Here is a 22813-nt window from a genome sequence, read left to right on the forward strand (position 1 = left end):
CATGAGATTGTATGTTATATATGTCTACATTTGTTTCAGGAAAGTCTATCAGGAAAGACATCAAAATCCTACCATTATTATCACTGGGTATAGAGTCTCATGATGTTAATTCTTAAGTTCTTACTGATTTGTATTTTGTTTTCCCCTCAAGAATAAACATGTACTACCTGTGCTACCCAAAAAAATAGAGGGTGCAAAACAGCCTCTAGTTTTTTTTTTTCTTTTTTTGAGACAGGGTCTTGCTGTGTCACCCAGGCTGGAGTGCAGTGGCACAATCTCAGCTCACTGCAACCTCCGCCTCCCAGGTTAAAGCAATTCTCCTGAGTAGCTGGGATTACAGGTGCCCACCACCACGTCCAGCTAGTTTTTGTGTTTTTAGTAGAGACGGGTGTGGGCCACCGCACCTGGACAAGCCTCTAGTTTTCAACATGTTCTTTACATAGGGAATTAAATAGGCTTTTCGCCCAGCAGTTTGAATATTAATCAGGTATGTTTGGAGGGGTAAGCCACAGGAAGGGAATCCTGGCAGAAAGTGCTAGTTTATCTTCCAATCTGTACTTTTCTTCTTATATAATGGAATTTTTAGCTGAATACAGAGTCATCCAGTTTCCAAGCCTCCCTTGCAGCCAGATATGGTCATAGATGGGAGTAAAAGTGATGTATGCAACATCCAGATTCTTTTTTTTTTTTTTTTTTGAGACATGGTCTCACTTTGTCACCCAGGCTGGAGTGCGGTGACAAGAACATGGCTCACTGCAGCCTCAGTCTCCTAGGCTCAAGCAATTCTACTGCCTTAGCCCCCCATGTAGCTGGGACTACAGGCGCACACCACCACACCTGGGTTATTTTTGTAGAGACAGGGTTTCACCCTGTTGCCCAGGCTGGTCTCAAACTCCTGAACTCAAGCGATCTGCCCACCTCAGCCTCCCAAAGTGCTGGGATTATAGGCATGAACCACCGTGCCTGGCCCAGATTGTTATCCTTAAAAGTGAGGACAGTGTCTTCATTTTCTCCCTTTCTGCTGGAACACAGATGTGAGGGTGGGAGCTGGAGCAGCTATCTTAAACAGTGAAATAGAAGCCATGTATTGAGGGTGGCAGCACCAAGAGAAGGAAAGCAGGCCCCTGACATTACTGAACTGCTACTCAATTTTGGCATCTGTTTGTTACAGTTGTCCAACCCCTATCCTAAGTAATACCAGATCTAAACATTTAGCACAACAGTGCTCTGACTTCCTCATCTGAAAACAAATGTGTTCTTTGGAAAGAATGTACAATTGCATTAGCCAAGCTTTCTTTTGTTTATGGGCACAAGGACCCAATTCTACCTCAGTGATGAAGAATGAGTCCTTAATCCAGGGCATGTTATATAATATGGATGGTAAGGAAACTGCAGAAATTCACTTGGTATTTTCAGCAGATCATGAATGCTTGGGCACTTGGTTTCTGGCTCTTTCTGCCCGATTCTAACCACCCCCTCCTCCTACAGACACAATTCAGAATTTGTGCATGTGGTGCAGAGTTTTGTGTAGGAGGGCTGCCTAAATGAGCCTTCTTGCCATCTGGCTTCTTGGGCAGTGTGGAGAACTCAAGGCCACATCTGCCACTTAGTGCAAATTCAAATGTATTGAGAGTTATAATGGCTCACGTATTAACACACAGAATAAGTTGACTGAAGATAAACCGTAGAGCAGAAACTTCTTTTTTTAAAAGCAGCTTTAAACAACATTTATTATCTCACAATTTCTTTGGGTCAGGAATCTCGGGTACAGCTTAGCTAGGTGCCTTTAATTTAGGTTCTCTCACAAGGCTGTAATCAAGGTGTTGGGCTTCCACCTTTTCATCTGAAGGCTCTCCTGGAGGCAAATTTACTTCCATACCCATTCATGTGGCTATGGGAAGGTCTCAGGTCTTCTAGCAAGCAGTAACTTTTTTTTTCTTTCTTTTTTTAAAGGCAGGGTCTTGCTCTGGGCCTGGAGTGCAGTGGCACAATCTTGGTTCACTGCAACCTCTGCCTCCTGGGATCAAGCAGTCCTCCTGCCTCAGCCTCCCCAGTAGCTGGGACTATAGGTGCCTGTCACTATGCCTGGCTTCTTTGTATTTTTTGTAGAGATGGGATTATAGGTGTTAGCCCCTGTGCCTGGCCAGCAGCAACTTCTTAATAGAAATTTTGAACTTTCTGGATTCTTAGGAACACAAAATATACTTACCTTTTGAGTTGAGGTTGGTCACTGCCAGAGGTTTCAGCCAGTGATTCTGGTCTGTGACCTTCTTGGGTTATGCTGAGCGTCCTTTATACTATATAGACAGAATGTCACAATTTATACCGGAGTTGGTCTCAAGCCCTCTTAACCCAAGTACTTAGCAGCTCTCCTCTATTCATGAAAGTTTGCAACCCATCAAGACTACTTAAAGATTAAAATAATACCTGATTGAATCCTGGATTATATTTCAAAGTTTTGTCTGAGAATTCCCTCACAACTTCTGAGGTCATTCTCTGATACCATGGTCAAGGTACGTGATATTACTTCTTTTTCCCATTTTTCAAATGAAGAATCTGAAAAATTACACAGCAGCATCAGGATTTTTTTTTTTTTCCTAAACTACTTGATAATGTGAGTCTAAGGATTTAAACGTTCCTGTCTGAAGCCAAAGCCTATTTTGTTTCCAGGCCTCAGTAAACAGAGTTGGTCCAGAGGCTGGAAAAGTCATTTGACAGCATTCCAGCCCTGTCAGCATCTTCACTGAGTAGCTTTGTTATTTGCTATAAACAGTTGTAAATTTCCAGAACTGCAGGCACACCCATATTAAAGTGTTCATTACTAAAATGCCTCATAATGCCAAATGCAAATCAACAAGTGAATTAAAGTCCCAGTGGAATTCTGTCCCTGGATCCCCTCCACTAGCACAGATAATTGAGAACTGACAAAATTTAACTTTTCTTAAATAATATTTAGTCAGATATCTCAAATCTGACCCCTTCTATCATTTAATGGAACTTCTCAATTGTGGAGGAAGAATGGTTGATGCTATGCTTTAAGCTGCTTTTAAAATGTGAAACCTATTTTGTTAACGGAGAAACGACACTTTTTTAAAAATAACAGGACTTCTCTAGGCCCCCAAGTTTTGCTGAAACTCAGGGAACACATATGGACAACTCTCTAGTTGTTGTTCTTCCTATAAATCCCAGAAACCATAGCTTCTGATTTAATGCCCCACCGGAACTGCAGACCTTAAAAAACAAAAATCCCACTGGGATGAAAGAGGCTCATTTGTTTTGAAGTTGTGGCCCTTCCACCCCCTGGGTGGCTCCTCCCCCATGTCTGTGTCTGTGGCTTTGATTTATAATCTTCCACCCCCACAAGCCTTGGCATTTACTGGGATCCTACAAAGAGGTTAAGGTGTAAAGCAGGAAGAAGCTTTTAAGGACAAGAGGGAGTTGGGGGTAGGGGCTGGGGTATGAAAAGAGAGTTAAGGAGAGGAAAAGCAATTATAAGAGACCACATGCGTAGCATAAATGAATGAGCACACGGGCAGGGAAGGCCCTGGCTGATTGAAGAACTGCTGAATGTGGTTTTGCCCGCCAAGGCAGTGCCTGTGGTTCTGTGATACAGCTTCCAGTGGGAGAGCTCCTTGCCCAATGCACTGTAATGAGGATAGCCAGTATGTGAACCCCCCTCCTGCTTTGTCAAGGTTTTTTATATGCTTGCACAGCTAGCTCTGTGTTCCCAGCTGTAAGGCCTGGGATTTGCAGTTTATCCCCTGGGGGGTAAATAATAGGAGCTGCAATCTTCTGCCAGAAAAGAACTTGCTTCACCAGCTTGGACACTCAGTTGATGATGAACGCAAAAGATTTTCTGGAAAATAAAATGAGATACCCCATGGGCCAACCTTTGAAAACTGTGAGGTGCCAAGTAAATGTGAGTCATCGCAGTTCTAATAATTATCAGGGCTAGGTAGGTGGGTTTTCTTGAAAAGGATGAAGCCTCAGAACTTATGGCTTAGTGCCTAAAGGGAGCTTCATGATTTTCCTTGCAGGAATTTCTGGAGACAGACAACTCAAAATTTTCCCTTTGGAGTTTCTGATGCAGTGTTGAATCCACAGATTCTAGAGGCAGACTTGGGTTGGAAGTCTGGCTCTGCCATTTATCTGTGTGAACTAGGGCAATTCTCCCCTCTGGAAAATGGGAATACTCTATTACTGGATGTGGTTGTGAAAGAAGTAGTGGATGTAAAATGCTTAGCATAATGTATAAGCATTAATAGAGGCACAATGCATGGTTACCTGTATCATGTACCTTTCATGAGAAAATTGGTCTGGTTTAGCACTGAGGCAATGGAAGGGAAGGAGAGACAACACTGTGACATGTCTAATATAAAGCACACAAGAAAAATAAGCAATGGGGACATTTATTATATACAGGCCCAACCAAAGATTCCAGGGACTCAGGGTGAGAAGCACCCAATGCTTTCCTCAAGCAACTGGGTTCTTGGAGAGCCCAAGAAGTACTGGTATTAAGTACCAAAGTCTATGTCTGTCAGTGCAGGAAAAGAACTATAGATGGTCATGTAGACTATGTGGAGAGAAGGTATCTCTTGGAATGTGTCTGAGGAAGTAAATTTTAGCTGTATAGCCTATGCAATGCTGAAAATGGGTGAGAATGGATGACGGCAGGATTCTAGAACCTACTATTGTCGTTGTCAGTAATGAGTCACAAAAGTCACATAGCGAACATATGAAACACACAGTATAATTATGCTGCTCATTTGCACACGGGTAACACAAATCTTGTCCACAGCCTGTTCCGAAGCTACAATCCAAAAAATGGCATTTGGCTTCTGCCTCAAATAACAGAAAGTTGAATCCAAATACAAATTTTTATACTAATTATTATTTTCTGTCATTCTTCATCTTGTTTGCTAACCATTTAGCTTGAATATTAACACAAATATTTGTTGACAGTGTGCAATTATATGCACTGTGAAGGATGCAAAGGAATTTAACATGTTCCCAGACTTCAGAATTGGCATCAATTGACTCAAAAGGGAACCAAAGATGAGTATCAAACCCAGGCCTTCATTCTTTATTTTTTGGTTCCTCTTTAACATTTTCCACTTTCCTACTAGCAGATTCTGACATCTGAGTCAAGATTACTTGTCTTTAATCATGTTAGTACTGACTCGATCTATTTATATGTTAGAGTAGCTAGCACTAATCGAGCTTCTACTATGTGCCAGGCATTCATGTCACAAGCATAGACCATTCAGTTAGTTCTCAGGACCCTATCTAGTATTTATTATCGTCCTCATTTTACAAATGAGAAAATTGAAGCCTAGAGATTAAAGAACTACTGTGAGGTCACAGCCTAATGTCTCATGGCTAGGAAACATGTAGGTGCAAAGAGGGGAGGTGGACTGAGATTTACATTTTTTCTAGCTGTTTGGAGTATTATCAGTTATAAGATAATGCACTAGAGGGCGCTAAATACACAAGCTTTAGCTGTTTCCATAATGCAGTTCCCACAGTAGTGAAAGATATATAATTGGTAATGGATGCAAGCCAAAAAGGCCCTCCCCAAAAAAGATGCAATTTATGATAACTGAGAAGCTGTATTTCTGTCCCCTCAATTAAGAAAAACCCTCATTTTATATTGAGCAATATTTATATTTTGTCTCTAATTTGATATTGATTGCTATTCAAAGTTCCTTTCAGTTAGAAGTTTAATTTTTCCTTGTTCTGCCTGCTGAATGACAAAGGGAAAGGGTAGAGTAACCTGGATGAAAATAAATTTTTAAAAATTGCACTGAGATACATTGCATCTTTTAAATTTTATTTAGCAAAGTTAAACATACATATATTTTAAAAGAGAAAAAGAGGAACTCACCCAACCCTCATATCCAAGAGCTTAAAATCACAGGAACTCAAGACCCATCCTCAACTTCAAATGCCAGTCATTATTTTAGAGGTAACTCAGATTTCTAAGTAATGCTTCTGTTTCTCGATTTATCAAATAGACATTATTTATTTTGTTTTCCTACATGAGAATTGAGTAGTTAACAGAATACCCATCTCTTATCAGTAACAAAGATTTACAAAATAACTTTTGTTTTTCATAATTACAAAAGCAATACATTATTATTGAAGAACATGTTTTAAAAAAAGACAAAAAGTAACAAAACTCTCCATTATCCCAACAGGCAGAGGAAGTTATTACCATTTTAATGCATATCCTTAACACATACATGTAAAAGATACATATACACATAAAAATATAAATGTTTAACAGAAATTACTTTGTACACAATATTTGATTAAACTATGATCTGTCTTCTTTCATTTTCGTTTTATTGTAGTAAAATTTACATAAAATGCATAAATCTTAAATCTATACATTTTTACATTACATAGAAATGTGTAATTATATACTCCATGCTCCCTCCCAATCAGTGCTGCCTCAAAACGAACTGCTCTTCTAATTTTAGAGCTTAACTCTTCTCGTCTCTATCACCACAGATTAGTTGTATTTTTAAGCTTCATGTAAAATTTTCCATGTCAACTTTGAAAACATGACAGTTAAAAGTTCTAAGGAATCTCCAGTTCTCCAACTGGTGTGGGAATCAGATAACTTGACTCCAGTGTGAATTGTGGTTACTGATGGTATCACTGAGTCTGTTATGGGCCACCCAGTCTTAAGGGCCAAGAATTTATGGCCCTGCAGGGATTGCAGAAAGAAACCAAACCGAAGTTCATAACTCAGCCTAAAAGGAGAAAGTTCTATTACTCAGTATCTCAAGACTAAGTGGATCATAAATGGTGTCACAAGTTTGCAGTTTTTTTTTCCTGTGGAAGATAATAATCTTTTGTATGTTTAATTCGTTATCATTGCCTTATAAATTATCACAAGCAGCACAGATAACTACTGGAGTCATCAGTGCAACTTAAAACAACAAAACTAGCATTTCTCACTTGCTGTTTTTCAGACACCTCCCATCATCTGCACCTGGTCCCCAAACCAGCTGTCCATGAGCAATGACAAAGAACTAAAGCGGGGATGGGGGAGAGGGGGTGTAGGGCCCAAGAGCTGGGGAGCATTATGGCTTGCTGTCAGCTGGCAGTCTAAGATGTACTTGGGAAGATGTTTCATACCCATTTTCCCTGTGAAATTAAAAATGTGATGCTACCAAACCTTTGCTTGTCCACCACCCTTAAAAGAATACTCATTCAGTACAAAGCCCTGCAAAAAGGAGTGAGCCAATTTGAATAAAAGCGGAAACTTCGTAGGAATTAGGAGCCTGAAAGGCTGCGTGAGAGATCGCAAACATATTGAGGCGTTCTTGAAACACCTGCTCTCTGATTACAGGTGGGAAAAGGCCATTCCTATGCCTTCTCCCATGGGCACGGCGAATCAAAGGCACTTTCCATATTTAATACGACTAATACGTCATTGGGCAAAGAGATACTCAATACATCCCCATAGCTTTTCCTTACTTTTACTTAACCTTTATGTCGGACGCTTTATGCCTAGTACTGTTCTAAGCGCTTTGCATGCATCATCTCATCAACCTAATATTTAATAAGAGGCTCGGATAGATTAACTTTTAAAATCTGGATACAGCTGGTTAAGGTGGCAGAAGAGTTGGAATTCAAATAAAAGCCAGTCCTATAGCAGGGCCATTATTGCTCCTGCCTCCCCTAGCTTGATCACGAAAAATGAGTAGTTCTTTCCTCTGGGCACACAGGACAATGAACAGGCGGGCTGCTGCCAGAATTTACCGAAGATGGCCGCTGTGCTGGGCTCGGAGTGAGCTGACGGTGTCTCAGCGAGAAAAGTCGGGAGCGGCAGCAGACTGCTTTTTTGGAGGGCAAGAGGGGAGAAAAGGGTTCAACGGAAAACGGGGGTAACATAAGAGCCCGAATAAGGGAAAAGGAAACCCCTGACTCCCCTAGCCACAGAAAGCGCTGGGCGGAAATGAACCGGCCTAGGACGCGCCCTGCGTGGAGGCAGGCCCGCGCGGCGGAAGTGCGTTTCTGGGGCTCCTCCTGAAGAATGCGGAGGAGGAACTGAGCTGGCGCGCGGGCCAGCTGTCCTCTCTTCTGATCCCGAAGACAGGATCGGATTATGGGTTGTTACCGGCTTGTGCGGCCCTGGGGGTTGCCGGTTCCTGGAGACGAGCTGCACCCCTGCAGTTTACTGGGCTCTTCTGTGACCCGCTTTCCGACCCCGCCTGGGGTATTCAGACCGGGGCAGACAAGGCCCTTCTGCCCCTCCTAGCGGCCGCCTCTCCTAGGCTGGAGGGCGGCGCCCCATATGACACAGAAGGCGGCTAGGGATACGCCCTGTACCATGCCGGCCAGTCTGGATTGCCCTAACGCCAGGCCCCGACTCGCTCTGGCCAGCGGGCATGCGGCGAGTTTGCCCCCGCAGCGCAGCCGCCCACAACTCGGTCTTCCAGAGGAGCGAACGTTCGGACTGCTTGGTAGTTTACTAGGGCAAAGTACCACCCCACCCCGAGCGAGCAAGCGGACCTCAGGAAAGGGGCTCCTTCTGTGTAAAGTGATCGGCAGGCCTTGCAGTGGATCTTCGGTGTCCATAGTTATATACCAATCACTATTTTGTCTACATCATTTGGACTGTGCAGAATGAGATGCCAATAATATATCACATACAGTAAAAGGGCTATTTTCACAAAAGGTCAAAACTGGGATATATAACCTCTTTCTTTTGATTAGTCAGACTGACTTCAAAGGGGGCTTAGGGTTGCTTATTAAAGAAAAATGCCTCCCCGTGGGTTTTCATTTGAGCCACTTATAAGTGGGCTAGTTTCTCCAACACCAATTGAGCTGGAAACTAGAGTAATTAGAACACAACATATTCCCGACCTGAACAGGATACTGAAATAAGTTAAAAGCCTCATTACTTACCAGCCTTCTCTCAGAACCCTAACACCCCTTGCAAGGGATTTCTAACTAGGAGTCGGTAGATAAAATTTAGAATGTGTGAGCATTATGTAATACACATGTAAAACATTCTGAGATGGGATCCACGGGCTTTTGGGGGCTGTCAAAAGGCCCACGGCACAAAAATAGTTAATCTGTATACTTGAGGGAAGAGAGAACCATCACTGGAAGTATTAAGCTCTAAGCTCATTCAGGCTTATTTTCTGGGAACTTGTAAACAAAATGAAGTTTATGGTCCTAGCCAGACTACTCCAGATACCATACTGAGACGTTACCCTTTCCTATTTTCCACTCTCTACTGGCGATCAGATGGTTGGTTCTTAGTTGTAAATACTTTGGTTTCATAAAACCATCATTAGAAAATGGAGACTTTTCATCAATCACGTCTTAATCTATACTTTGGGGGTGTTTAAAAGACATATTCCTTATGTACAAATAACCTGGTTTTTCCATTTCTCAAAAGATTCTCCTTTCCAGCTATGACCAGGGTTCACAGGATACTAATGTAATTTAATAGCCCATCAACAGTCATTTGAGAGTACCATGTTTGTTTATACTGAACCCACCATGCAGATAATTAACTACTTAGAAATTTTGATGACTGCTAATCCTTTTCTCATTTTTAACTCATTGGCCAAGTGAATTCTCCCTGGCCCAAATTCTCCAACCTGCAACAATTAAACATCTTCATATATTCATATATATATAGTTACCTTTAATCATGTAATTCAACAGGAATAGAGAGGACGGGGACTATGAAATCTCAGCTGTGATGCAATTATGTCTGCAGCTCAAAATAGATGTTCTTTTCTCCCTCTCTTTTCCTGCTAGGATTGCACTGTAAATTCATAGCTCTTGAAAAATCATTGCTCAAATATGCCCCCCTCTTTACCACCATTCATGTTATCCCCTATAATATCTGCATTCCTAAAAGGCTTGTTAAAATACAAATCTGCTTCATAAAACATTCCATAAATGAACCTAATATTACACCATTTTAAAAAGGTGGGAACATTGTCTTCACTGCAATTTCAGTATCTCAAAAAAATCTTTTTATTACAGTTACCTTTTCAAAATGTAGCACTGATTTGATGTTGACTTCGTACATTTGTCCAGAATCTACAGTAATTCTGATGCAGGTTGACTCAGTGTCCATATTTTAAGAACCACTAGTTTAATGATGATTCCACTGGTTGGAATCATCTCTTTGGCTGGTCCCAGGATACCCTGAAGGCAGTAGGTTGTGCAGAATCAGATGGAACACACTTATGGAGGCATGAGAGTCACCAAGTGAACCTTTTGTGCAAAAGTGCAAATTTGATTTGGAATTCTCAAAGTCCTATTTATTACAGAAACAAAGGAACCCAGTCAAATGAAATGTGCTGGATAGAAAATTGTGGTCTTTCCATAGAAAAACCTGTTTCACCAGTGCTTTGTTATTCGAATATTTAAGGTATTCATATTTCAAGTTTATTAAACCAGTTTAAATGCTCCTCCACCTACTTATGATTAAAACTTTCAACTCTTTATTACCTTGGTTAATGTTGACTAAGGACCTCCATGTTGAGGGAAAGTGCTGGGGTTAAGCAAATTGAACCTTTGTAGGCCCAGACAGGACCTTAATCAAGATATAAGAGGCCAGGTGTGGTGGCTCACACCCATAATCCCAGTTTTGGGTGGCCGAGGTGGAAGAATCGCTGCAGCCCAGGGATGCTGAGGCTGCAATGAGCCTTGATCATGCCACTGCACTCCAGCCTGAGCAACAAAGCCAGACCCTGTCTTAAAAGAAAAAACAAAGACCCTGAACTGCAGTCACACTTTCCTAAATACCTAGTAAAATTAGCTGGTTAAATCTAGTAAGACGTTCCCCAAAGATTTACGGCAGATGCTGTTTTATATATATTGCTGTGTCCCTCTGTGACAGGAAGTTACAGGGTTCTTTTTACCAGTAGTCCTGTACCCGGGGCCTTGCAAATCAGTGTCATATGGTAGAGAACAGAATCTGATCACATTTCCTACTTCCTAAGCAAGTACCAGAATATACTTACTAAGCTTGTATACTGCCCTCAACTGCTATATATTTTTTTCTTTTTTTTTTTTTTTTGGTGATAGTAGGGTCAAATGCTAAATTGTTCTGCATAAGAAATAAGAATTACAAAGACTGGGCAGCTGAGAAGAAACAATACTGCATACTTAAATTGTTAAGGTAGGTCTTGTGGTTTTTTTTTTTTTTTTTTAAATCACACACCCAAAAAGCTTAGGTGATAACTGCAAAGGATTTTTTTTGGGGGGCGGTGGAGGAGAAAAAAGGGGAGGAGTATTTTTGCAATTTAAACATCCTCTGTAATTTTTCCCGTAAAATCATTCGTAAAATAAACATTACTCATTAGTGCCTTATGAAGTTCTCCTTTTGGGGAATGTGATTAAACATATGGCCTTTATTTTATTTTTTTGAGATGGAGTCTCGCTCTTGCCCAGGCTGGAGTGCAGTGGCGCGATCTTGGCTCACTGCAAGGTCTGCCTCCCGGGTTCAGATCCTTCTCCTGCCTCAGCCTCCCAAAGGAGCTGGAACTACAGGCGCCTGCAACCACGCCCGGCTAATTTTTTTTTTTTGTATTTTTAGTAGAGACAGGGTTTCACCGTGTTAGCCAGGACGGTCTCGATCTCCTGACCTCGCGATCCGCCCGCTTTGGACTCCTGAAGTGTTGGGATTACAGGCATGAGCCACCACGCCTGGCCACGGCCTTTATTTTAAAATTTGGCATAGGAGTCAAAAGCTGCCCAAGGAGGGCAGCTACCTATGGGGTGTGCATACATTCATGACCAATATTTAAGTCCAATATAGCTTTGATAATTGTTCTATAAAATGTTTACACCTCACTGAAGAATCTGTCGTTTTAAAAGAAAATCTTTACATTTATTGTATCCAATTAACTTTGTTAGTAATCTGCCAAGTAAAACAAGTATTCATAGTAATTAGTGACTCTATTGCATTAGAACTGTAACTTAGTGCCATTTTTGAAGACTGTTTTCCCAACAAGGAGGCATTATCATTTATCCAATTACTTTATTCTCTTTGAATAGCAAGCATGATGTAGGCCTCAGCTCACAATTTACTTACCTGATTAGCTTCCATTTCTCTTTAAGGATATTGACTATGTGACACTTCTAAGAAGGCTGACTAGTACGTAAGATTATGTAAAAATCCTACCAGAGTATGTACTAAAATAAAGTTAACATGTCTATTTTCTAGTTGCTTGTGATTTATCTTAATTTTCTTCCTATGTCACTAAGATATGGGTAAAGAGCCCTAAACTCCAAACATTTTTACATGTTAATATAAATTTAATGGTGGCATATTATTCCATCTACTGGCTGGGACATGGTATATATAATTATTTGCCTATTAATCGGTTCTGAATATTTGTATTCTGACTCTTGGCTAAGCTGGCTTCTGTCTTTTCTAACTACTGACTGAACTGAACCCTTTGATGACCAGCAAGGTCTCTGACTTCCAAGTGCAATTTGAGCACTATTTATTTTTAGAAGTTTTAAGTCCAAACTATTTCCTTTAATTGCTCTTGTCCAGAATACACAAGCTTTTTCTATATAGGGCCACATAAGAAATATTTTAGGCTTTGCAAGCCAATCTCCCTCACATATTCCTTTCCTTTCCCCCATTAACAACTCTTTAAAACAAACAAACAAACAAACAACAAAACCTGAAACTGGAAGTTTTAAGTTTACTGCCACATGGGTACAATCATATACTTAGGTCGATAACTTTATAGTTTTAAATGTAACATCTCACATTTCAAGCATCTCCTAAAACTTGCCATTGTAATTCTAGTTGCTAACATAATGGACATCATTATTTTTATGAAAATATTCCTATAGAATTAAAAATAACACTTGAAAAAAATTAAGATTGTTTTTCAAATAGCTTACTTGGTTAAAGTCTACTTATGGAGCAAGCTACAAGTCCATATAATCTTTGCTGTTTGCCACCTACCTAACCAATTCCTCATTTTACTCATGTTTTGTTAGACAGAATCAACTTAGGATATTGTCTTCCGTCCTAGGGACCCAGAGGAAAAGAGATGACCAAAGATGCAATAAACTGCCCCAATATACTGTGTCTATTTAAACAGAAATCAATCAGCTGTTAGGCAAGCCAATGGGTGCATAAGTAGGGAGAGGGGTCAGCCAACACTGGACACCTTAGAGCAGTGGTTCCCAACCTTTTTGGCACCAGGGACCCGTTTTGTGGAGGACAATTTTTCAATGGACAGGGCAAGGGGATGGTTTTGGCATGAAACTCTTCCACCTCAGATTATCAGGCATTAGTTAGATTCTCATAAGGAGAGCACAACCTAGATCCCTCACACGTGCACTTCACAATTGGGTTCTCACACCTATGAGAATCTAATGCGGCCACTGATCTGACAGGAGGCTGAGCTCAGCTATGATGTTCACTGGCCCATCACTCACCTCCTGCAGGTGCGGCCGATCAGGGGCCGGGATTGGGGACCTCTATCTTAGAGGGTTTTAGGCGAATCCTAAATAGTGTGTCTCCACTAATATTTGTTAAGTTTATGCTTAACATAGCAAGACTGATATTTGTGACAGCCCATAGACACATCTGCTCTCTTAAGATGTACAATGTTTCACAGGAATTTTAAGGGGTGTTCTTGTTTATATATTTGGCAGTTGTGTAAACTTTGGTCCTAGGAATAGAGAGAGATATGAGTCTCCAGGGACAGCAAAAACAATCAAATGGTAAAGAAGAGAGGCCATATTTTCTTTAACACCCTTAATTCCATCCTTATCTCTGCTCTTGGGTGCTTATACAGCACATTATTTGTAACTGTAGTCACTCTAAATTATCCCTTACTGCCTCTTTGATGAGGAAGAATGATTAACACAATGGAATGTTGGAAGGTTTAAAGTCTACACCTCATCTTTCCTGGTATCCTTGAATTTACTAGTCAGGAGGAGTTAAAATATAGTCATCTTTAAAAAAATCTCTCCCCTTTTCACTTCACAGTTCTTTATTTTATCCATATACTCTTAAGTGCAACTGCATTTTCTTTTGCCTTAACAGTTAAAGAATCCCACAGGGAATGATCATAGGCTACTCTGGTTTTCAATTTGGGGAAACCCTATACTTTAACTTGAATAAAATAACAAAGTCCTCCAAACTAATATGTGATTTCTGCCCAGAGCTCTGAAAGTCAAAGTAAAGAAATTCAATAAAGTGAGGGTAACAGGGAGTAAAGATGACTTTCAAGGTAGCCAAATGCCTCACCATCTAAATAATGACGCCCATCAATGAACAAACAAGATTCCCACTGTCCCATCTCCTATCCAGTGAAACACAGCCAACTTGATAATTTGTGCAGGGAAAGACTCTGTTTAGCTTATACCTTGAACCTAAGGGAAATTAAATTGCACATTTTCTGTTCCTGGCTAATCTTCTGAATAATGTACTGAACACAGTAGGAGTTAAGAATTAAAAATACCTGTCTGCAGTTTCAGAAACAATCACACACAAAATATTTGTTTATTTCCAGACTGATGAAAGACTGAATTTTTGGTCTCATGTATTTACTGTATTGTTTCATATATTTATCTATATGCTTTGGCTGTATTAACTTGTTGAAATAGTTTGTGGTTCTTTATATTTAGCTTTTATAAATAATTGAAAATCTAATGAATGCTTACTTAATAACCAATCTAAACTGGGGACTTCAAACATAGGGAGTCAAGTAATCTGGTTGTGTAATAAATAAGCAAGTTGTTATCTTTCAGGCTGAGGGCATATCAACCAAGCTAAAAGACGTGTGTGTATTAAAAAAAAAAAAAAGTCTACCAAACCACCATATGATATCCAAGGTTAACTATATAGGAGGTCTAATAACATTCAGAAGGTGCTAGATGAATATACCAAAAACATGCGGAATTAAATGATGAAAATTATTTACTGGCATTAGGACGGAATTTTTAATGTCAAATTTTAAAAATGGCCCATTAAAGTCCCAGCTCATGACATCTAAGTATCTGAAGACCCACTACTATTCCTTTTTCTTTTTCTGAGACTGTTACTCTGTCACCCAGGGTGGAGTGCAGTGGCATAATCTCGGCCCACTGCAACCTCTGCCCCTCGGGTTAAAGCAATTTTCATGCCTCAGCCTCCTGAGTAGCTACGATTACAGGTGTGTGCCACCACACCCAGCTAATTCTTACATTTTTAGCAGAGACAGGGTTTCACCATGTTGGCCACGCTGGTCTCATGACCTCACGTGCTCCACCTGTGTCAGCCTCCCAAGGTGCTGGGATTACAGGCCTGAGCCACCACAGCGAGCCAGATCTGCTATTCTTTTAAGTTACTAGTATTAAGTGATGCTTCTACTCTTGAGTTGCACCTCAGGATCTCAAGTTATTGGTTTGACCTTTAGGGAAAACAGTAACCGTAATAAAAAGATCACAATGTCTAAACATCTTGCAGTAATTCATTGTAAAAGTAGTAGGGTGAACTCTTACTATGCTTAAAATAACAGTTGATAGCCCCCCTCCACCTTTTTAAAAGATGCTTATGGCTGGGTGTGGTGGCTCACACCTGTAATCCCAGCACTCTTGAGAGGCCGAGGTGGGCGGATCACCTGAGGTCAGGAGTTCGAGACCAGCTTAGCCAACATACTGAAACCCCATCTATACTAAAAATACAAAAATTAGCTGGGTGTGGTGACACAAACCTGTAATCCCAGCTACTGGGGAGGCTGAGGCAGGAGAAATGCTTGAACTCGGGAGGCAAAGACTGCAGTGAGCCGAGATCTTGCCAGTGCATTCCAGCCTGGGTGATAGAGCAAGACTTTTTCTCAAAAAAAAAAAAAAAAGATGCTTATATTAAGTGGGGTGGGGGAAGGAGGGATGTATAGAAGTTGGTTAAATGGTACAACAGTAAAGTTAGAAGGAGTAAGTTCTACTATTTTACAGTACAGTAGGAAAATTATAGTTAATAATTTATATTGTATATTTCAAAATAGCCAGATTTGTAATGTTCCCAACACAAAGATGTTTGAGGTGATAGCTATTCCAACTACCCTGATTTGATCATTACACATGGTATACAATTATGAAAATATCACATGTGCCCCTAAAACATGCACAAATATTATCTATATCAATAAAAAGAAAGAAGTAAAGTGTTACATTAAGTGGGGAGTTTAGAAATAAAGCCTTCTCAGGCTGGGCACGGTGGTTCACGCCTGTAATCCCAGCACTTTGGGAGGCCAAGCGGGCAGATCACAAGGTCAGCAGATCAAGACCATTCTGGCTAATACGGTGAAACCCCGTCTCTACTAAAAAAGAAATAAAGCCTTCTCTCTCTCAACAAATCTAAACACTCCTAAGAAGAGATACTTTCTGGGCTAACAAGACTTTACCTGTTTGACAAGAAAAGTTTAGGCCATCAGAATATTCTAATTTTCTTAAAAAGAAAAATCCTCTTTCAGCGGTAGGTAGGTAAGATAAACTCCTAGAGTTCTGTAATTTGGTCACTTTTTTTTTTGGTTTAGGATTTAATGTTTGAAAAACACTTCTGCTAGAGAGGTTCTGCTTTTGACTTCTTAAAAGAACTAAAACCGGCCTTAAAGTTTATGCTGTAAACAGAAAAGCTAAAATGGGTATTAGACAGTATAACTGAGTTTACTCATAGCTAGGCTTCAAAGTGCCTGATTTCAAGGTGACTTGGAAATTTACTTTGTGTCTGCCCCTCATTTAAAAAATAAAGAAGCCAAGAAGCTGGTTTATTTCAATCTTTAGGCAACTCCTCTAGGCCAATGATTTTACAATCTAACATTCATTTATTATTCTAAGAATTATGTATATTATTAATAATATACACAAGGGTCAAATTTATTTGAATGTGGAATTTTAAATACAGGTGACCCTTGAACAACATGGGTTTAAAATGTACAAGTCCACTTATACACAAATTTTCTTCTGCCTCTGCCACCCCTGAGAAAGACCCCTCCTCTTCCTCAGCCTACTCAACGAGATTGAATACCTTTATGATCCACTCCTACTTAATGAACAGTAAATATATTTTTTTTTCCTCATCATTGCAACCTTTGCTTCCCAGGTTCAAGTAATTCTCCTGCCTCAGCCTCCCGAGTAGCTGAGATTACAGGCGCCAACCACTATGCCTGGCTAATTTTTATGTATTTTTAGTAGAGACGGGGTTTCACCATGTTAGCTAGGCTGGTCTTGAACTCAACAGGATCTCATCCTGTCACCCAGGCTAGAGTGCAGTGGTGCAATCATAGCTCACTGCAGCCTTAAACTCCTGGGCTCAAGCAATCCTCCTGCCTCAGCCTCCTGAGTAGCTAAGACTACAGGCATGCACAACCATGCCTGGTTTGTAGAGACAGGGTCTCACTTTGTTGCCCAGGGTGGTCTTGAACTCCTGAGCTCAAATGATCCTCCCACCTCGGCCTCCCAAAATACAGGGATTACTAGCCATGAGTCATCATACCCAGCCCATTTGATTTTATCTAGTTACTTTATTGTAATAAGACAGTATATAATACATATAACATACAGAATATATGTTAATTGACTATGTTATTGGTAAGGCTGACAGTCAACAGTAGGCTATTAGCAGTTAGGTTTGGTTTATGGGGAGTCAAAAGTTATATGTGAATTTGACTGCATGGGAAGTGGGTCAGAGCCCAACCCCTGAGTTGTTAAGAGTCAACTGTATATGCTTGGAGTTACCGCAAAAGGAAACTGATCCAGGACACTTTATTTTTAAAGCTGAGAATGAATCATGATACCAAAATTAGAGAAGTATTAGTGTTGAAGCTTTAAATAAGTTTTACTAAGAAAAATTAACACATGTTCCCAGAGCCAATCCTAAATATCACCCAGTAGGAACACTAAAGATTGAGGGTGAGTTCAGTGGAATTTAAATTTTCATAGCAACCTGCAGCAAACATCAACTTAATTTGTCCTGAAGTCTATGTTAAAATGCATGCCTGCATCCCAGAAATGAGGCCTTCTCGTCCCAGGTAATCAGAGTCACTTCAAAGATAACTTTTGAATTACGGAAGAAATGGTTCATGGCAATAGTACCTCCAAACTTCTCAGGTCGGATGTCTAATATTACAGTAACACTCCCCCAAAAAGAAATGAAAATATAATGTCTTTGCACTGTTGCTTTCCACAGACATTTTAGAGAAGCAATCCATTCCATATATCAGTGTTATCAATGTAGCATTTGCAAATTAAATACCTGGGAATGAGGGGTTTGTCAAAAATGCAGATTTTTATTAAATAGTGCAGCATATGGTTCTTCAAAAATTGCTACACTGTAAGAAAATTATGAATGATGACATCTAACATCTTGTTTCTGGGACCTGTGGGTAAGAAGCCTAAGAGTATTTTAATAAGTTTCAGAAATGATTATGGTGATCAAACCGGCTTGGGAACTACCAACTTGCAGCATTTTAATATGTCCATAGCAGGGAAACTTGTACTTTATGTAGTACCTACAACTACCACTTTGGAAATTTGTTGGTATCTATGTAACAGAATAAATCAACTTATTTATTTTTGCAAAACTTAGAAGTGACTTTTAACTTGGTGCCAAATCTTTCCAAAGAATACAAACTTGCTTGCGTTGTGGAAGGGATTAATTAGCACATTGATGGACTCAACTTTTTAAAAACAGGTATTAACATCATCATCTACTGTTAATTGTAAATCATTCAGAATCTCTGTGCAGACTGACATGTATTTTTACCAGTGCCATTTTGGGCTACAAATCTGTTTAGTTCCTATGACTGTTGCTGCATGTTGGTAAGTGTTGATGTCTCTGCATCCATACTTGGAGGACAGTATCTATTCTTTTGAAATAAGATGCCAGAAAATCTACCTGAACTTTCATCCTGTAAATAAGGCCACTGAACTGTTAAGAAAGTGAACTGTGGGAAAGTTCTCTTCTTTGAAGTTCCCTTGAAGTTAAAGTACCTTTACAGTTGCAATGGACACATGAGTACCAGGGTATGTGTCATGTGGGATTGCTAGTCTTTCAAGATAATTGTGCCTGATGAAACCTAAGAGGAATATATGCCCAACTGTTTTCTTGGTATTATTTTTTCTTTACTAAGGATGGCTACGTTCTTGGACATTAATCATCATTAACTACAGAAATGCATCTCTAACCTTTCTTCTCTTTACAATCTAGGTTTAGGAGATATTTTGCAGATTTATACTTACACCAAAGACAACAGACCCAATTAATTCAAAATTTACTTAAGCACTTACTATGTCCTAGGTACAAATGCAGGCACTACCCGTTTAACAATAAACTGAATCCTTTTATCTGAGGGAGACAATGCAAGTTAGATATTCTGCTCTTCAGGGGCTCATATTCTAGTGCTGGGGTCCCCAACACCCTCCCCTACCCCACCACACAACAGGAGGTGAGCTGTGGACAAGCATTACCCCCACCCCCAAAGCTCTGTCTCCTGCCAATCAGCTGTGGCATTAGACTCTCATAGGAATGTGAACCTTCACATGTGAGGGATCTATGAATCTAACTCCTTATGAATCTAACTCATGCCCGATGACCTGAGATAGGCACTTTGTCTCAAAAATAAAAAATAAAAGATGCTTATATTAAGTGGGGTGGGGGAAGGAGGGATGTATAGAAGTTGGTTAAGTGGTGCAAAAGTAAAGTTAGAAGGAATAAGTTCTACTATGTTACAGGAGTAGAATAAGGAGCGTGTGCCCCTAAATATGCATAAATATTATCTCTATCAATGAAAAGAAAGAAGTAGAGTGTTACATAAAGTGGGGAGTTTAGAATCTCATGAATCTAACTAATGCCCGATGACCTGAGATGGAACAGTTTTATCCCAAAACCACCACCACCCCCACATCCCATCCATGGGAAAAAACTGTCTTCCACAAAACTGGTCCCTGGTGCCAAAAACGTTGGGGACTGCTGTTCTAGTGGGTAAAGAGGCTATAAATAATTGTAATAAACTGCAGTTAAGCGCTATAATAGAGCTGGGGTACATGGAATTATAAAAAATAAGACTTATTGGAAAAAGATCAGAGAAGGCTACACAGAAAAACACTTGCATTCACAAAATAGACAGGGGTATTCTATGAAGAGATAATAGTACAGGTTGCGTATCACTTATCTGAAATGCTTGAGACCAAAAGTGCTCTGGATTTTGGAATATTTGCATATACATGAGATAGATATATTGGGGGTGGGATGCAAGTCTAAACATAAGCTCATTTATGTTTCATAAATGCTTCACCTTATGCACACTGCCTGAAGTAATTTTATACAATATTTTTAATATCTGTGCATGACACTAAGTTTTGACTGTGACCTATCACATAAGGTCAAGTGTGGAATTTTCCACCTGTGGCATCATGTTGGTAGTTTCGAATTTTGGAACATTGCAGATTTTGGATTTTCAGATTAGGGATGCTCAAACTGTATTAATATGGCTGGAAGCAAAAGCAGCAGCAACTGGGTACTTCTGATTGGAAAAAAAGGCAAGAGGCAGATCATGGGATTCATTAAAAGCTTTCAAGCAATATCAGATACACATTTAAGTAAAATCACTTTGAAGTGTTAACAGATGGATTAGAAAAATTAAAAGCCAGGGTAAGCTAGGAGGTTACTACACAGTTCTATACACAAACTCATGTATTTAGCAAATATTCAGAGTGAGTGACTGAATACACTTTTCCAGACCTGAATTAAAGTAGTGGCAGTGGGAGTGAAGACAACGAGGGGAGATAGGCCAAGAACTATAGTTAGAACAGACATTAGGGACATAAGGAACATGGGTATTAAAGAAAGGAAGATGATTCCTAGGCTTCTGATAATCTGAGACCATACTGTTTTCAGTTTGTATCCCATTTTTTTTTTTTTTTGGACAGAGTATTGCTCTGTTGCCCAGGCTAGAGTGCAGTGGCATGATCTCAGCTCACTCCACCTCCTGGGTTCGAGCAATCTCCTGCCTCAGCCTCCCGAGTGGCTGGGATTACAGGCGCCCACCACCGCGCTCGGCTAATTTCTGTATTTTTAGTAGAGACGGGGTTTCACCATCTTGGCCAGGCTGGTCTCGAACTCCTGACCTCATGATCCACCCACCTCGGCCTCCCAAAGTGCTGGGATTACAGGCATGAGCCACCAGGCCCGGCCAGTTTGTATCCCATTTTTAAGTTAATATCCAAGCATCAGCCCATTCCCATTTTTTTGGTAACATACGCCTGCTATAGAAAATCCATCTGTAAGCCTATAACCCAAAAAGAAACCATTATTTCCTTTACCTATTTCTATGGAAACATACACAATATACAAAAGTCCTATAAATTGTGACCTATATTTATATTTTCACCATTTTTTTGTAATATGTGATGCTTTGAAATAACTCTTTGGAAACAATTTTAATTGCTATTTATGGACATATCCTAATTTAAATTTGTCAGAAATTCACAAGTCTTTTATACATTTTTGTATCCTTCTAAGACTAACTTGTCACAATTTAAAAGAATGCTGATGACTATTATTATAAATCTATTTTTTTAACAGCTGAGAAAAGTAGTTTCATTTTAAAAACTGATTAAAGAATTGTCTTTGAGTTATGCTTTCCATGTTGGTAAAATCAGACAGCCGAGATACATGAATTATTCCAAAACAATATTCCAAAATGAATGTTGGATAACTTTTCATTATTCTATAGCAAAGTGAGAATAAGAACAATGTAGCCAGGTTTTAAAAAGACACTTTTTAAATCATAAGACAATGTCCTTATTTGGTATTAAAAGATCCATTTTAGGCTGTGCTTCGTGGCTCACACCTGTAATCCCAGCACTTTGGGAGGCTGAGGCAGGTGGGTCACCTGAGGTCAGGAGTTCGAGACCAGCCTGGCCAACATGGTGAAACCCTGTCTCTGCTAAAAGTAAAAAATTAGCCGGGCATGGTGGTGGGCGCCTATAATCCCAGCTACTTGGGAGGCTGAGGCAAGAACTGCTTGAACTTGGAGGCAGAGGTTGCAGTGAGCCAAGATCGCAACATTGCACTCCAGTCTGGGTAACAGAGTGAGACTCTGTCTCAAAAAAAAAAAAAAAAAAAACTATTTTAAAACTCAGTATCTAATTGAATGCTAATACTGAGTGAACTTAAAACTGACAACTATACTGGTTTCCATTCAATTCATTCAACAAATCCTAAAGTCTAGGAATTTGACTGGCTCTAAAACCCTTGGCAACTCTCTTTAGTTTGCTTCTCATATACACTGGATCTCCATAAAAACTCTACCAAAAATCCCACAAGAGTTTCATAATTATTTTGCTTTGTTGACTCATATCTTAGAGCTACATGGACATACATTATTTGGTCTATCCTAAAACTTTGAGAAAGTTATCCTATTTGAATTTCAGGAATACAGAATGTGAGCCTTTCCTTTCAACCATTTATTCTATATTATAAAGGATTCGGTGAGACACAAGACCTAGATTATGAAGCAAAGGGTTCTTTGATTCAAAAGGAACAAATCCAACCTGCTTGATGTGAAGCTATCTAATCACTGGCTGCTATTACATAAGGGAGTTACTTAGGCACCTTGACAAAGATTATTATGATTAATAATTACCCTGTTCTTATAAGAACACTTCTCCCAACCAGTTCAAAGCCTTCTGGTATACAATGCCTCCCTCGATACATACTAACAATATGAATGAATCCCTCCACCAAAATTAATTCCGCTAATGAAAGAGAGGCTAGGTTGCAAAGGACATGTATAACCAAACTACTTTCAAA

The 22813-nt window shown here is 39.8% G+C and overlaps 1 long non-coding RNA gene across 1 annotated transcript, besides 4 other annotated features; it reads right to left on the reverse strand.

Moving 5' to 3' along the window:
* Nucleotides 1-5813: 5813 nt before the first annotated feature.
* Nucleotides 5814-15232, reverse strand: LINC01004 (long intergenic non-protein coding RNA 1004). Its single transcript, NR_039981.2, has one exon. It is a non-coding gene; the product is annotated as a long intergenic non-protein coding RNA 1004 (long non-coding RNA).
* Nucleotides 7592-7681: an enhancer, noted in NCBI's record as "active region_26452". NCBI's record gives its function as "activates an Ori minimal core promoter by ATAC-STARR-seq in GM12878 lymphoblastoid cells {active_cell/tissue: GM12878}" and the evidence as "EXISTENCE:reporter gene assay evidence [ECO:0000049][PMID:35858748]".
* Nucleotides 7982-8281: an enhancer, noted in NCBI's record as "active region_26453". NCBI's record gives its function as "activates an Ori minimal core promoter by ATAC-STARR-seq in GM12878 lymphoblastoid cells {active_cell/tissue: GM12878}" and the evidence as "EXISTENCE:reporter gene assay evidence [ECO:0000049][PMID:35858748]".
* Nucleotides 11073-11574: an enhancer, noted in NCBI's record as "H3K4me1 hESC enhancer chr7:104627453-104627954 (GRCh37/hg19 assembly coordinates)". NCBI's record gives its function as "activates a minimal SCP1, AML or CMV promoter by ChIP-STARR-seq in primed H9 embryonic stem cells {active_cell/tissue: H9 hESC(primed)}" and the evidence as "EXISTENCE:reporter gene assay evidence [ECO:0000049][PMID:30033119]".
* Nucleotides 11575-12074: an enhancer, noted in NCBI's record as "H3K4me1 hESC enhancer chr7:104627955-104628454 (GRCh37/hg19 assembly coordinates)". NCBI's record gives its function as "activates a minimal SCP1, AML or CMV promoter by ChIP-STARR-seq in primed H9 embryonic stem cells {active_cell/tissue: H9 hESC(primed)}" and the evidence as "EXISTENCE:reporter gene assay evidence [ECO:0000049][PMID:30033119]".
* Nucleotides 15233-22813: the final 7581 nt, after the last annotated feature.

The sequence above is a fragment of the Homo sapiens genome, chromosome 7 (assembly GCF_000001405.40).
Source record: "Homo sapiens chromosome 7, GRCh38.p14 Primary Assembly".
In the NCBI taxonomy this organism is placed as follows: Eukaryota; Metazoa; Chordata; class Mammalia; order Primates; family Hominidae; genus Homo; species Homo sapiens.